This window comes from Homo sapiens, chromosome 10 (assembly GCF_000001405.40).
Source record: "Homo sapiens chromosome 10, GRCh38.p14 Primary Assembly".
In the NCBI taxonomy this organism is placed as follows: Eukaryota; Metazoa; Chordata; class Mammalia; order Primates; family Hominidae; genus Homo; species Homo sapiens.
In genome coordinates, this window is record NC_000010.11 from 91,962,705 (window position 1) to 91,979,250 (window position 16,546).

The following is a 16,546-nucleotide window of genomic DNA, read 5'->3' on the forward strand; positions in this document are numbered from 1 at the left end:
TACTATAGAGCTTGTTTTCATTTGGGATATGGAGTATTAGAAAATACATTGTGTACATTTTTCTCCTTCATCTTCAATTTTTTTTTTTAACAACAGCCCTCTGATGCATGCAATCTTGATTATATATTGTACTTTGGAAGAGTGAATTGGATCCATTTGTCTACTTTCCCTTCATGTACATAATATATAGGGAACTTCCTTGAGAAGAATGCAGCCATTTCTTCCTAATTTTACTCCTGGTTTTTAGATATATTGGATTTTTGTTTGTTTTGATTTTAGTTTTTGGATTGTTTTTTTAAATCTAGTCTCCCCTCCCCTCCCTGTCTCTCCTCTCCTCCTCTCATTATTAATTATTAATTAGTATTAATTATTAACTAATAAGTGCTGTGTAATCTATATATACACATAACATTTTCTTTCTTTTCTTGGGTCTCACTCTGTCACCCAGGCCAGAGTGCAGTGGATGACATGTAGCCCCACTCTCCTGGGCTCAAGCAGTCCTTCCTGCCTCAGCCTCCTAAGTAGCTGGGACTACAGACACATGCCACTGTGCCTTGGCTGATTTTTTAAAAGGCATGGTGGCGGGCGCCTGTAGTCCCAGCTACTCAGGAGGCTGAGGTAGGAGAATGGCGTGAACCCGGGAGGCAGAGCTTGCAGTGAGCCAAGATCGCGCCACTGCACTCCAGCCTGGACGACAGAGCGAGACTCCGTCTCAAAAAAAAAAAAAAAAAATTATTTTTTGTAGTGATGGGGGAGTCCCCCTATGTTGCCGAGGCTGGTCTCAAACTCCTAAGCTCAAGAGATCTTCCCAGTCTTGGCCTTCCAGAGTGCTGGGGTTACTGGTGTGACTCATCACACCCACCCCTCTAGTCTCATTTTTTGAAATGACTTTTTTAAAGATCTGGCTGACTTTCCACCTTATTATCAAAATCAGAACACAAAGTTAGAAGTACAGTAAGCAGTATTTTAAGAGCTTAAAAACTAAATTTTTTTTATGATGATTAGTACCATTTTAAATGCAGTAAAATTACATAGAAGAACATGTCTTGTGTCTCGATGCTCTGTTGTTTTCACTGTTAAGTTTTTTACATAAAATAGTTGTGGCTCTTTTATTTTCTGAATTCTACCCATTATGAGTCTGGTCAGGCAGGGAAGTATCAAAGTAGAGTTGAATGGCATTAAAAAGAAGGAATAGAGAATTGTTAAAGGCAAATAGTGTGACCTCCTTAACTTTACTCAAAATTGACACCGTCCAAGGTCATTGGAATTGCATGTGTTGTTGAATCAGTAGTGACCCCTGGGATACCATTTGGCAGGGTTTGTGAGTATTTTGTGCAAAATTGATAACTTTTCTTGAAAACTGATCTTATAGGTGCCCTTCATTATAAATACATTGTGGGATGCTCTTCTGGAATTAGATGATCTAACAGCTTCAACAAATAGTATTATGACTCTCCTTTCATCCTTGTTAACTTACCCTCAGGTCCAACAATGCAGGTAATTATTTCTAATTAGTGGAATAAAGTAAAAAGTCTTTACATACCTTTCGAGATAATTCAGCCTAAACATAACAATATTTTAGCACCTTTAAGAATAATATTATTTAAGCTGGAGATGCCAAAGACTACCGTTTTCAGAAGGCCTTGTCTTTTTTACTCTAGCCATTCGGGCAGCAGCTTACAAAGATCATTTTTTTTTTACCCTTGAGATATTTCAGTTATATAATTCATCGTCTTGTTCGTCTTATAATTGTTTACTTAGAAATATAATCATTGAATAGTATTTCCAGTTCTAGTCCTAGAACGTAGAATTTTAGCTTTATTTAGTAACATTTAGTTAACAGAATTATCATCGAACATCAGCTTTAAATTTTCTAAAACTTGCCCCTCTGTGAACTTTTTTTTTGTAATGTTCATGTCTTCAACTCTTGTTCTTGATTTCAGTAATTACTTATCATGAAGGAAATACATAATAATGTAATATAATGTCCAAAGGCAGAGATCAAATGAAGCCAAAAACATACATCAAAAATTTAGTGTCACCAATTTTCCTGTCCTGATATATGAATCTCAGCTCAGCGAATTAACATATTCCCTACCTTTTAGACTGGCCCTTGAATATTGTTAGAGATAAGTGTCCTTAGAGATAGAGAATAGTGTCCTTAGAGACAGAGAAGAAAAAATTATTATGCAACTTTAAAAAATTCACAGATGAGAAAATTACTCTTCTTGTCCTAGTGAGGGCGTTCAGTGAATGTTCATATAAATGCTTATATGTGGTTTCTGGCTCTATGAGTATTTCCCATGAAACCCATAGATGTATAAAAAAAGTAGAAAATATTTCAAATAATACTGACCTACTGGAAGTACTTTAATGCTAAGTTTAGATTAGTTGGATAGCCTATAAGTAGGAATAGCAAAATAAGTGCCTATAAAAGCAAAAGAAGAGAAAAATTGAAGTGGTAGTACATTTATGGGGTTTCCTAATTTTTGATGTTTCTATTACTAATGAAAGCTGTACAAACTAAATGAGTTAATCTATGTGAAAGCCCTCTTTAAGCTGCAAGATGAAGGGGTTTTTCATTACTGTAAATCAAGGATTGGTAATCTTTTTCTGCAAAGGCCCAAATAGTGAGTATTTTTGTTTTGTGAGCCAGTCTGTCTGTCAAAACTACTAAGCTGTCACTGTAGTGTGAAAACAGCTGTACATGGGTAATACATAAGAGAATGAACGTGCCTGTGTACACATAAAACTTCTACTTAAAAAAAAATGGGTGGAATGGATTTGGCCTATGGGCCTTAGTGGATGGTGTCAGAAAAACTGGATAATATAAAAAAGAATATAGTGAAAATTCTATTAATTCAATGTGAAATAATGTAGTTTTCCGTCTTTTTTGTTTCAAATTTGCTTCATATATTGTGATACTTGGCAGATACTTTCTTCTAGTTTATGTAAGAAGAAATGTAGCATGTTATTTGGAGCATGAACAGTTAGACATTTAACAAGACTTTGTTATAATGCTTTTATGTGTTTTGTGTCTTTTTTATGTCTATGTGTACCTGTGTTTAAGTTAGAATTTTATAAATAAATTTGCTAAATATGAAAATAAATACAAGAAGGTAGTGTTCATACAAACCTGCAAGTAATGAAAATAGTGTTAAAAGATAGGCCTCCTGGGAGGAACCACAAAAGACCAAATACAGTGGCATATTATTTTTTGCTTATGTCTTTTTCTGTGGAGCCATATATTTCAAATGCTGCTTATGAATTATTTCCTAGTTCCAGGTAACTTTTACAAATGACTTACGAATGTGACAGGAATCCTGTGGCCCAAGTTAGTCTAGACTTGGCTTTGTTTGCTTCCCCATTTAAAACTTAATCTATGAGAAGGAAGAAATTTGAGTTTTCCTAACTTAGTAATGCTACACCAGGATAATAAATGTCAAAGTTGCTACCATACCACCACTTGCTCATTTGATATGTGACAGAGATGGCACCAAAGGGAGATGGAAATTATGTGTATCTACCCGTTGGGGTTAGCCATGGGGAAGAAGTAAGGATTAGCAATCCTGATCATGTAGGCTGACTACCAGCTAGGATACATGTCCCATTTTCCTAAGAACAATTACATTGGAAAGTCCTAACTTGATAAAGGTGACTCATAGCATTAGTGCCATAGAAGAACCTGATGTTAGTATTTCTACCCTTCTTTTTGACTGCATTTGCTCTGGCTCTTCTGTTGCTACGATAACAGTTGTGAATGACATTGTTACATGAATGTTCATATGAAAACTGTATTATCTTTTAAGAATTTATTCATCAAAAAAGTCACATGGTGTCAGCATCACTAGATCCCATGAGAATATTTAGATAATGTATCTACAGAGTTACAACTTAGAATAAGTAAGATTAATTTGTGTCTTCTTTATTAGTATTCAGCAGTCACTGACAGTTTTAGTTCCACGTGTCTGGCCTTTTTTGCATCACACTATATCATCAGTTCGAAGAGCAGCATTGGAAACTCTGTTTACGTTATTATCAACACAGGACCAGGTAAGAACTGATAACTATAGCAGTCTTGAAACTTATATAAATTAATTTTATAAAATAAACCTGGTCTTTAGCTTACCCTTGCTGTATATCCAAAGATCAGGACAATGTTGGGCCTAGTGGTATGGTAACCATGTAGATGAATATAATCACTGTAAGAGCAGAAATATTTTAATATTTTGTTCTAGATTGTATTCTCACCACTTGAAATCATGCTTAACACATAGGAAGTCCTCAGTAAATGTTTGTTGAATGAGTGATTGATTGAATAGTCTCTTCCTGTCAGAGACCTGTTATATAGTCTTTGCATGCTCTTTGTCTGTGTGGCTGACAGTTGGGTGGCTGGCAGAACCCATGGCCCAGGTGAGAAGGCTACATTTGAAGGTCTAGAGTACAACTCTTAAAAGACTTACCAAGGAATTCCCAGGCTCTTGCCTTTATTTAAAGATTTTTCAATCTTAAGAGCATGCTATTTTCAAGGATAGTATACTTCAGGAGTCACGTTGAAATGTCTACAGAGATCATTCAGATAATATCAGTGTGTAAATGGAGCCTGTGGTAAGCTTAGGAGTCCTTGCCCTGTTTATAAAAGGCTTCACATTCCCATTTTTAAAATAACCTTATAGGTCAAACAAAGTACCTAGATTTAGGGGATTATCAATAAGAAATTTAGTTTTCTAGTGTGCAGTTAATAGGTACTACAGTTTGGGCCAATCATTTTTTAAAAATAGTGACTAAGTAGTGAATAAGTGCCTCTTTTGTGTTCACTAACTGGATTCTCATGTGAATTAGGAACATTTTGTGTAGACTTGCCTTAGTGTGCAGCATGATACTCTGTTGAACTTCTGTAAATAAACATCTGTAAATTTTGTTTGGCATTATCATTTTGATTTTGTCTGATCCAAATCTCTGAGAACAACTGTCAGGTTTGTTTTACAGTTCTCAGTTGATCAAGCATGGGCTGATATGACAGCTGGCATGGGTTGTTCTTAATTTTCATTTCATTTTTGCTTTATTTTTATGCTTTTTGCCTAAATGTTTGTGAATTCTTAAATTCATTTTATGTAGACCCTTTGAAGTTACCAAATTTTTTATCTTCATATCATTCTTTTTGTATATATGGACTTTATTTTTAATAGCAGTTTTAGATTTACAGAAAAAATGAAGGAAAAGTACAGAAAGTTCCTGAATACCCTTTTATCCCTCCTACTACCCACACATAGTTCCCCTTATTGTTAACATCTTGCATTAGTGTGGTACATTTATTAAAACTGATGAGCCAATATTGATACATTAAAGTCCACACTTTACAGTAGGGTTCGTTCACTCTTCTGTACATTTTGTACATATTGTACATTTACAAATGTACAATAATATGTACCCACCATTACAGTATCATACAGAGTAGTTTAACTATCCCCAAAATCCCCTGTGTTCCACCTATTCATCCTTCCTTCCCTGTCCCTCAACCCTTAACAGCCACTGATCTTTCTTACTGTCTCCTTAATTTTGTCTTTTCCAAAATATCACATAGTGGAATCATATAGTATGCTGCCTTTTCAAATTGGCTTCTTTCACTTAGCAATATGAAATTAAGGTTTCTCCATGTCTTTTCATGTCATGGTAGCCCATTTCTTTTTATCACGGAATGATACTCCATTGTCTGTACCAGTTTATTCATTTGCCTTCTAAGGACATCTTAATTGCTTCCAGTTTTTGGCAATTATGAATAAAATTGTTACAAACATTCACGTGCAGGTTCTTATGTGGGCATTAAGTTTTCAACTCACTTGAGTAAATACCAAGGAGCGTATCTGCTGAATTGTATGGTAAGGGTATGTTGACTTTTGTAAGAAACTGCCAACTGTCTTCCAAGTGGCTGTACCATTTTGTGTTTCTACCAGCAATGAGTGAGGGTTCCTATTGCTTTACATTCTGGCCAGCATTTTTTGTCAGTGTTTTGGGTTTTAGCCATTCTTATAAGTGTGTAGTAGTATTTCATTGTTGTTTTAATTTGCAGTTTCCTAGTGATACATGATGTTAAGCATCTTTTCATATGTTTATTCGCCATCTACCTCTCATCTTCGGTGAGGTGTCTGTTCAGCTTTTGCCTATTTTTATTTATTTATTTTATTTTTGAGACAAGGTCTCACACTGTTGCATGGGTGTGATCATAGCTTACTGCAATCCTGAACTCGTGGGCTCAAGTGATCTTCCCATTTCAGCCTCCTGAGTAGCTGAGACTACAAGCACGCACCACCATGTCTGGCTAATTAAAAAAAAAAATTTTTTTTTTTTTTTTTTGTTAGAGATGAGGTCTTGCTAGGTTACCCAAGCTAGTCTTTTGCCTATTTTAATATTGGGTTGTTTTCTTATTGTTGAATTTTAAGAGTTCTTTGTATATTTTAGATACAGTTTCATATTGTTTTTTAAAGCCCTTTTATTCCTTATTAGGTGATCAAGCCACCTGCAGGCTATTTTTAACTTGTGACTTTATTATTAGTAATACCAACTTTACATTACTAGAAAATAAGGTATTCTGTATAAATGAAATTTTCAAATAACTGAAATATACTTTTTTTGCCACAAAAAAAAAGTTAGCTATTAAAATGACTGCCACAGTAGATCATCATTTTAAAGTATATTAAACATAAGCTAACTTTTTTTTGGTGAGTCAGTCACCAATATTATTTGTTGGTTATTAGTTTTTATACTGTTTATTATAGCATACTGTGGGAATATTGAGATACATGAGTCACTGTTTGCAGTAATTGAACTGTTCTTTTTCGGTTTGCTGTTGCCTAATTTTTATCTCCTCTCTGCTGTCAATTGTGATTTCTCACTTTTGTTAGTCTTGTAATACCTCCTCCCTTGTTCTAAAATTTTTGCTATAAATAAGATCCCAAGATTGTTATAAATCCCCGTCGGGCCCAGCGTGGTGGCTCAGGCCTGTGATCCCAGCACTTTGGGAGGCTGAGGCGGGCGGATCACTTCAGGCCAGGAGTTCCAGACCAACGTGGGCAACATGGTGAAACCCTGTCTCTACTAAAAATACCAAAATTAGCTGGGCATGATGGTGTCTGCCTGTAATCGTAGCTACTCGGGAGGCTGAGGCACAAGAATTGCTTGAACCTGGGAGGCAGAGGCTGCAGTGAGCCGAGATTGCACCACTGCCAAGCCTGGATAACAGAGCAAGACCCTGTCTCAGAAAAAAAAAAAAAATTCGCCTTCCAATTTTTAGTCCCTCAATGATTATGGATATTGGCTTTTAAAATTTCCTGGTTGTGAAAACATCTCTGTGTTCTTTGATGTTGATTTTCTTGTCCAGGGATTTTTTTTTTTTCCTTTTGAATTTGCCCTTGCTGGCTCATAAATGAAGGCTTTGGTACTAGCCTTCATTTCTTTATCATTTAATATGACTCTTTATCATTTCCTATACCAGAATGCCATTGTCTTTGTATGTAATTTGTGGCATGTTAGCCACCTTTTAAGCATGGGCCCTCAATGTTTGTTAAGTAAATTAGTGTGAGATTCTGTGCTGGGTTTCCTGGGAAATAAAAAAAAGAAATCCTGTGTATTAGCCTTTTTTCACACTCCTGATAAAGACATACCTGAGACTGGGCAATTTACAAAAGAAAGAGGTTTAATTGGACTTAGTTCCACATGGTTGGGGAAGCCTCACAATCATGGTGGAAGGCAAGGAGGAGCAAGTCACGTCCATGTGGATGGCAGCAGGCAAAGACAGAGCTTGTGCAGGGAAACTCCTGTTTTTAAAATTGTCAGATCTTGTAAGAATTATTCGCTGTCATGAGAACAGCACAGGAAAGACCCACTCCGTGATTCACTTATCTCCCACTGGGTCCCTATAACAACACATGGGAATTATGGGAGCTACAAGATGAGATTTGGATGGGGACACAGAGCCAAACCATATCATCCTACATGTTTCTTACCTTGGAAAAGTTTACAGTATGGTTGCTATAAGACTATTATATTACATGGTAAGTTTAATAACCTCTACAAAGAGTTAAATAACAGAAGACCAGTATGTGAGAGATGTCAGACAGCAGCATTAAAAGACAAACTAAGCTGAAAGATCAGGAAGATTAGGTGATGTGGTTAAAAAAACTAGTATTCCCTCACTTCTTTTTGATTCATATTTAGTATCTTTGATATGTACTTTCACAGACGTTTTACTGAATATGTCAATTTCAAGTTAGACAAGCATACAGAATGTGTTTTGAACAAAAGTGCTTTTCTAGTCTGTTCCCTTTAGACTTTTAAAACATTCTGCTTCCATATTTTTCTTCCAGTTATTCTGACATGTTTGTGGTCCTTTTTTGTTGGAGTCTTAATGTTTATTGTGTTTCCTGTATCCTTTTGTGTTGATTATGCTTTTAGCTTCTTTTTCTATTATTTTTCATAACTTTTCAATGGCATCATTCATGAAATTTCACTTGTGTTTAGCCTTTATCTTCAGCGTATCTCTTTACTGAAAGAGATGCTGTCTGTGAAACTTAATATTGGTGCTTCCAGATTTTGTGCTTTGTCACTGCCCTGATCCTTGCTGTTTATTATCTTCACCACCAAAGACTATGGCTATGGCACTAATCACTGATTCTTAGCAGTCTCTGATTTTGGTCCCCACATACATGCTTTACTATTTTTATTGGCTATTTCATTCTGTGTTTTCAAATAATGGTATAAAGCCAAACTTTTTTTTTTTTTTTTTTTTGAGATGGAGTTTTGCTCTTGTTGCCCAGGCTGGAGTGCAACGGCATGATCTTGGCTCCCTGCAACCGCTGCCTCCCGGGTTCAAACGATTTCCTTCCTCAGCCTCCTGAGTAGCTGGGATTACAGGCATGCGCCACCACGCCTGACTAATTTTTGTATTTTTAGTAGAGACAGGGTTTCGCCATGTTGGTCAGGCTAGTCTTGAACTCCTGACCTCAGGTGATCCACCTGCCTCGGCCTCCCAAAGTGCTGGGATTACAGGCATGAGCCACCGTGCCCAGCCCAAAGCCAAACCTTTCAGGAAGCTTTTCTTAATACTACCACCTATTTCCTTTTTTTAAATTTTGGGATTTTTTTTTTTAATGGAGAAAAGAGCAGGGAATTGTATGAAACAGCATTCATTTATGTTTACACCATCCATAATTGACATTTCTTATAATTTTGTCTTGTTTCAAGTTTTTGTCATAAAAAATTTAAGTTATAATCCTATCTTCTAATTTACCTACTTCTGCCTTCTGTGTATTCATAAAAATTATCATCCTTTCTCCAGTATGCTCCTTAAAGTTTGGAATTTTCGTTTCTACATGGTCATAGCATTTCTAAAAGGAAAGAATTTAAGTTTCAGAAGGATTTGGGGGACCATAGCCTCAGTTACTCACAAACTGGTTAGTAATTTGTAATCGCCTACCACTATATTAGAATTAAATTCCTGTCTTTCTTGGTTTTCTAATACTTGGCTCTTGTCAACATTTTCCCCTAATATTTCCTAATGTATACTCTGGAGTCAAGAACATTTTCTAAATCCACTCCTGTATCCTAAGTGTAATCATGTTCATTTGACCAAAGTATCTTTGGACATGGCTCCTTGCTCCCTGCTCCCCTACCCCCACTCCCTCCCACTCTCACCTTCCTAAATTTTAGCTCCGTTTCTTCCTCTCTGTACCTTTTCTCTCATGAGACAAATCAAATCTCTAGTGCGACAAAGCATTTCCAACTTCTGTAACTTGTTTTATCTAAATCATTGTTTAAAGTCGTCATTATGCAATGAAAACTCATTTAATTTTTATTGTTAATCTTGTGATCCCATTATTTGCTTTCTGAAAAGCTGTACGAATAAACCATCTCTGATGCTTTTATCTGTTATTGTATTCCTCTCCACAAATTGCCTGAAAGTTACTTATTGATTAATTTATAGCTGTGTGCAAACTCTTTGTGGTGCAGTTCCATGATTCCTTTCCTGCAACTTTGAAAGCCAAAGCTTATTGTGAATTGGGTCAATTTATAAAACTACTAATTTGGTGGCAAAACCTGACCATTCTGAAGAGAAACTGTTTAGTCTTTATCCCACTTAATGTGCCTATTCACACATTTTGCTGCAGAAATATTAATATATTTTATTCAGGTGCTACTGGTATTGTATTGGAGATATTATATAATATACACTGTATACAATTCATTATTCTAAAATTTGAAAAATTTCTGAGTTTCAAAACACTTCTGGCTCCAGGGAATTTGGATGAAAGATCATTGACCTATTGTGATAATAAAAATCCACTCTCACTTTTAATTTGTGTTCCTTTTTCTGAGCTGCTTCCTTGCCTTTGATTTCTTAGTGTTGTTAAGTATTCCTAATTAGTCAGCAATCCTTTATGGAAGCAATCATAATGTAAAGAGCCGTTAAATAGAGCTTTTTATCACTGTTGTTACCCCTTCAATGGTAAAATGAAAAGATCCCTTAAATAGACAGGATCTGAGTTCTAACTTTGGCTCTATCATTTGCTAATTTATGACCTTTGTCAGATTTGTCTAACCCTCTCTGGTGATTATCTCTAGCCTCTGTCAGAGTTACATGGATCAAGTGAGATAATGTGTATGAAAGTGCTTTGAAAATGTTAATGCTATACAAGTATAAATAATAGTACAGATACTAAAAGAATAATTAGTAGTTCCATTCTGAGCATTCTTTCCTTATTCTGGGGTATAGGAATGATATTTAATTGTGATAATAATAATCTAAGCTGTTGAGGGCTTACTTTATGCTAGGAACTGTGCTAAGCAGTTTACATGAGGTGGCTACTGCCATTCCTGTTTTGCAGATGAGAGAACTGATAATCAAAGATTAAGAAACTTTCCCGGCCGGGCGCGGTGGCTCACGCCTGTAATCCCAGCACTTTGGGAGGCCGAGGCGGGCGGATCACGAGGTCAGGAGATCGAGACCATCCCGGCTAAAACGGTGAAACCCCGTCTCTACTAAAAATACAAAAAATTAGCCGGGCGTAGTGGCGGGCGCCTGTAGTCCCAGCTACTTGGGAGGCTGAGGCAGGAGAATGGCGTGAACCCGGGAGGCGGAGCTTGCAGTGAGCTGAGATCCCGCCACTGCACTCCAGCCTGGGCGACAGAGCGAGACTCCGTCTCAAAAAAAAAAAAAAAAAAAAGAAACTTTCCCAAGCTCATATAAGCAGCTCACTTCAGTTTCAGATCTTATTCTGGCTTTCAGCTTTTAACTAAATTTTATACGGGGACAAAATAATTATGTGTCTAATTGCTTTCCCACTTCTGCTTATGGAGTCATTTTAACTACAAAGTGAGAAAAGGAAACTCACCTGAATTACTAGTAGCTGTGTCCTGGTTTCAGTTTCTAACTTCTCAAGCTATACCTCAATAATTCTAAAGTAATTTTTCAAGGTCAGACTTGGCTATAGCTCAGTGTGTCACTGCGTTGTAAAGATTGATGCTTCTGTTTCCTTGAAATTATCCTGGTTATCTTTAGTAATTTTTTGGTTTTGTTTTGCTTTGTAAAATCAGTAGATTTTATAAGGGAGATGTCCTTATTTTTAAAAGGTATCCATTATAAGTATGTGTGCTGGCATGCACATCTCTAAAATGTCCTTAAATAAAACTACAGTTAATGCAGTTGTCTCTGAAACATTATTTCCTTTATACTTCCCTGTGGCATACCATGGCATTTGTGAAAATATATTGTTTAATCAGTGTGCCTTCTTCTGTGATGTTAACATGTGAAAGAATTGGCAAGCTTGGCATCTTGAGGAGCATGAAGTAGGTACTCTTAAGAAAAACCATGGCCAGGCACAGTGGCTCACTCCTGTAACCCCAGGACTTTGGGAGGCCAGTGCAGGCAGATCACTTGAGGTCAGGAGTTTGAGACCAGCCTGGCTGACACAGTGAAACCCTGTCTTTACTAAAAATACAAAAATTAGCCAGGAGTCGTGGTGGGTGCCTGTCATCCCTGCTATTCGGGAGGTTGAGACAGGAGAATCACTTGAGCCCGGGAGGCAGAGGTTGCAATGAGCCGAGAGATTGCACCACTGCACTCCAGCCTAGGTGACAGAGTGAAACTCCGTCTCAAAAACAAAAAACAACTAGTTTTATTTCATAATGATTTACAATCAAGGTATAACTTTTTTTTGCTAAACTAGCAGCTTGGTAATCAAAGTGAAGGAATTTACCATTTGTTTGTCCTTTCTATATTGTCTCTTTAGCCAGTGTGTTTGTACGTGCTAGAGTACACCTATTAATATATATATCTATCAGTGAACTACTGAAATATCCAGATTAACTAGTGTTAGTAACTGGTAACTGTTGTTGCCAGACAAACTCCTAGACATGAATCTCCTATTTTGCCTTCTTTACTGACTGGGTCAACTTTTCCATTCCATTGCATCTCAGTCACTTTGTGAGTCATTCCAAAATTTCAGTTACCAATACATTAACTTTTGTTTGAAAGGCAAGCTTAGTTATTACATGAAGATATACATGAGATTGAGTTGGAATCTGAAGCATAATTTCGAATGTTAGAAAATTTAACATACACAAATAAGTAGGAAACAAAGACCAAAAGAATAGCCTGAACTAAGACTTTGGCCTTAGAGAATGCTAGCATATTTGGGTATTGCCAGATTTTATAAAAATATGAAAAGGAGAGAGCAAAGTTGAAATATTTAGCTGACCTTCAATAAATGTTGGTTGGAGAAATGAATAGAACAAGGCATTATAAACTGTCTGATATGGAAATTTTCTTTTCCTTTGGCTGTGGATCACAATAGGGTTTCAGAGCAAATTAGTAAAATTAGTGAAAGAACCCAGTGTGATTCATCACCAACTTACAGGTTCTCTCCTGATCTTCTTCCCTGCAGTCTGAGAGCATTTGATATGCTGGTAGAAATGATGAATTGGCCTGCAGGCAAGAATCAGGTGTTTGTGGTAATGCTCAGATTGCTCCTTTTTTCTGAGTGTACCCATTTTGTGGGAAGATAAAAGAGGGACCGTAACAAAAGGGTACAGACAAGATCTTATCCCACCTGAGATGCCAAATCTGCCAGTTAGGGATCTATGGCTGAGCCATTTTTACAATACAACATTCCTGACACCAAACGTGTGGGTTTTTTCCTTACACCAACCAATTATCCAACTCCCTGGTTGCCAACTTGGTATCATACAATTCAGTTCAGTTCTGACAGTCTACCTGGAATTAGTGTCAGCTCCCACAAGTTAGAGAGCTCAGTCGCACAACAGATAGCAGTTGCAAGTGTTGGACCTTCCGTACTTCTGACCTACCATCTGTAAACTGGGTTCCCCTGACCCTCTCCTCAGGTTTGATAACTTGTTAGAATGCTTCACAGAACTCAGAAAGGCTGTTAAACTGGTAATTACAATTGCCGGTTTTCTATAAAGGACACAACTTAGGAACAGCCAGATGGAAGGAGATGCACAAGGCAAGGTATGGGGATGAGGTACGTGGAGCTTCCATGTCTTCTTTAGGCATGCCACCCTCAGCACCTCTGTGCACTCACCAACCCATAAACCCATAAATGTAGGTGTTTTATGGAGACTCTATTATGTAGTCATGATTGATTGAATTATTAGCCATTAGTGAGGTGATTAACTTAATCTCCAACCCCTCTAGCTCTGGAGGTGGGGAGCAGGAGGCAGTCTGAAATTTTTTAGCCCTCTAATCACATAGTTAGTTCCTCTGGCAACCAGCCCCCTTCTGAAGCTATCTTGGGGCCTCCCAAGAGTCACTTCGTTAGCACAAACTAGATTATGGTTATGAATAATCCCTATCACTCAGGAAGTTCTTTGGGTTTTAGGAGCTCTGTGCCAGGAGCTGGGGATGAAGATCAAATACGTTTCTTTTTAAGACCCTGGACAAAATGCTGAAAAAAAATTTCTTATATTACAGTATCACAATTTTGGGAAATTTTGCATATTGGCAACTATTCCTTACGATACGAATTTGGATTATTTCCAGTGGCCAGGATGGATTTCAACAACTATTTAAGTGCCTGCTATGGGCTCGAACAATTTTCTAGATAGTGGTAAGAGACAAGGCCTTTGCTCTCCTGTAGTGCTTAAAATAGGAGACTAGACAGGAGAAGACAAATAATTAAACAAGAATAACTTAATGAGGTAACTCTGATATGGGAGGTAGAAGACACTATTGGATCCTAAATGAGATGGGTGATGGACAGGGAAGGCATCATGTTAGAAGTGAAGTTTAAGCTGAAACCTGAAGGGTAAGTGGAATTTAGCCAGGGGAAAATAAGGGTAAGAGTCAGAGGAGGGAATAGTATGTGTAACTCTGGAGGCAGGAGAGAGCAGAATGGCACTAAATAAGTGACAGGAAGTTGGTTTGGTGGAGGGCAACATGGAAGGGGGGTATAGATAGTTAGAAGTTTAACCTTCATTTTCAGGTACAGTGAAATGTCCATAGTCTTATTTCTGTTTGTCATCAACTCTCCTTATTCTGAGTCTCCGGAAGGCAGATCAGAGGAAGAAACGCCATTTCCATAGTTTTGCCTTTTCCAGAATGTCATATAGTTGGAATCATATAGTATGGAGCCTTTTCAGATTGGCTTTTTTCACTTAGTAATATGCATTTAAGATTTCTCTGTGTCTTTTCATGACTTGATAGTTCATTTTCTTTTTAGTGAATAATACTCCATTGTCTAGTTGTACCAGTTTGTTTATCCATTCACCTACCGAAGACATCTTGCCTGCTTCCAAGTTTTGGCAGTTATGAATAAAGCTGCTATAAACATCTTGTGCAGATTTTTGTGTGGACTTTTTTGCCTCCTTTGGGTAATATCAAGAAGCACAATTGCTGGATGGTAAGAGTATTTTTAATTTTTGTGAGAAACTTCCAAAATAGCTGCCCCATTTTGCATTTCTACCAGCAATGAGTGAGAGTTCCTGTTGATTCATATCCTGGCCAGCATTTGTTGTTGTCAGTGTTCTGGATTTTGGCCATGCTAACAGGTATAGAGTGGTATCTCATCGTTGTTTTAATTTGTATTTTCCTGGCAACATACGATGTGGGCCATCTTTTCATATGCTTATTTGCCTAGACTTTATTTTTCAGAGCAGTTTAGGTTCATAGCAAAATTGAAGGGAAAAGTACAGTTTCCATATATCCCATCCCCCATCCTCAACACTGCCTCCCCCACCATCAGTATTCCATACCAGACTAGTACTAATTTGTTACAATCAGCGAACCTGCATTGACACATTATTATCAACCAAAGTCCATAATTTACTTTAGGGTTCACCCTCAGTAGTATACATTCTATTGGCTTGACAAACATGATGTCATGTATCCACAATTACAGTATCACACAGAATAGTTTAACTGCCCTAAAAATCCTGTGTTCTACCCATGTATCCTTTCCTTCTCTGGCTGTTTTTAATAATTATAAAGTAGAATTTAGTAGAGTAACGATGTTTGTAGCCTGAGAAGACAACTACAGTTTATATTACATGTATTGGTCATAAATATAGGGGGAAAATCTTCCTCTATAGATGTGACTTTTGGGGACCTACAGGCAACTGCTTGGATTGCCAGTGTTGGGGTTGAGGGTCGGGGAACAGAGTTGGTAAATATTTTGGGGGGAAAATCAGAAATTAAGAGACATTATGGAAGAGTAACACCAAATTATTTGCTTATTGCTGTTATAGCTTTCCTAATTCTGTTAAGATTGTCCCTAATTCCCTCCAGTGAGAAAATAAGAACTTTTTTCTTCCCAGCTTCCCTTTCTCTTTCTCTTTGTCTAGAACTTAAACATTTATTATCCCTAGAACTTGTGGATTTCTGCAATTTCAGTTAAAATTTCCAAATTTCTCTTAAAAACACTGTATTTAGTGCTTTAAAAAAGTCATGTGGAGGGCAGGGGCTGATAGGTACTTTGAGCTAGTTAGTAGAATTTCTCTGATGGACATTTCTATCCAATGAAATGTCCTGTGTTATCAGAAAAGTAGAGTTAAGACAGTGAAGTAGTGAGAATGCTCCTCCAATGGATGATTTATGGCTTGTTTTTTTTTTTTTTTTTTTTTTCACTTTCATTTTAGGTTCATGGGTACATGTACAGGTTTGCTATGTAGGTAAACTTATGTCACGGGGGTTTGTTGTAAGATTATTTTGCCACCTAGGTACTAAAGCTTAATAACCAGTAGTTATTTTTTCTGATCCTTTCCCTCCTTCCCACCCTCAAGTAGGCCCCAGTGTCTTTTGTTCCTCTCTTTGTGTCCTTGTGTTCTCATCAGCTAGCTCCCACTTACAGGTGAGAATATGTACTTCTCTGTTCCTGTGTTAGTTTGCTAAGGATAATGGCCTCCCGCTCCATCCATGTTCCTGCAAAGAACATGAGCTTATTCTTTTTTAAGACTGCATAGTATTCCATGGTGTATGTGTACCACATTTTCTTTATCCAGACTACTGTTGATGGGCATTTAGGTTGATTCCGTGTCT

General features: G+C 37.2%; 1 protein-coding gene across 20 annotated transcripts in view; it reads left to right on the plus strand.

Annotated features, from left to right (window-relative positions):
* Positions 1–16,546, plus strand: part of BTAF1 (B-TFIID TATA-box binding protein associated factor 1) — a 107,668-nt gene that overhangs the window by 38,935 nt on the left and 52,187 nt on the right. For 17 of the 20 annotated variants that reach the window (NR_165093.1, NR_165097.1, NR_165099.1 and 14 more), the window contains 2 exons: positions 1,373–1,497; positions 3,933–4,053. Coding sequence is in view for 6 of the 20 variants with exons in the window: in NM_003972.3 (NP_003963.1) it covers positions 1,373–1,497; positions 3,933–4,053 (246 nt within the window). In the remaining 14 variants the exon portion in view is untranslated. The remainder of the gene's footprint in view (positions 1–1,372; positions 1,498–3,932; positions 4,054–16,546) is intronic. The other 3 variants (NR_165098.1, XM_011540326.3, NR_165096.1) reach the window with 2 other exon arrangements.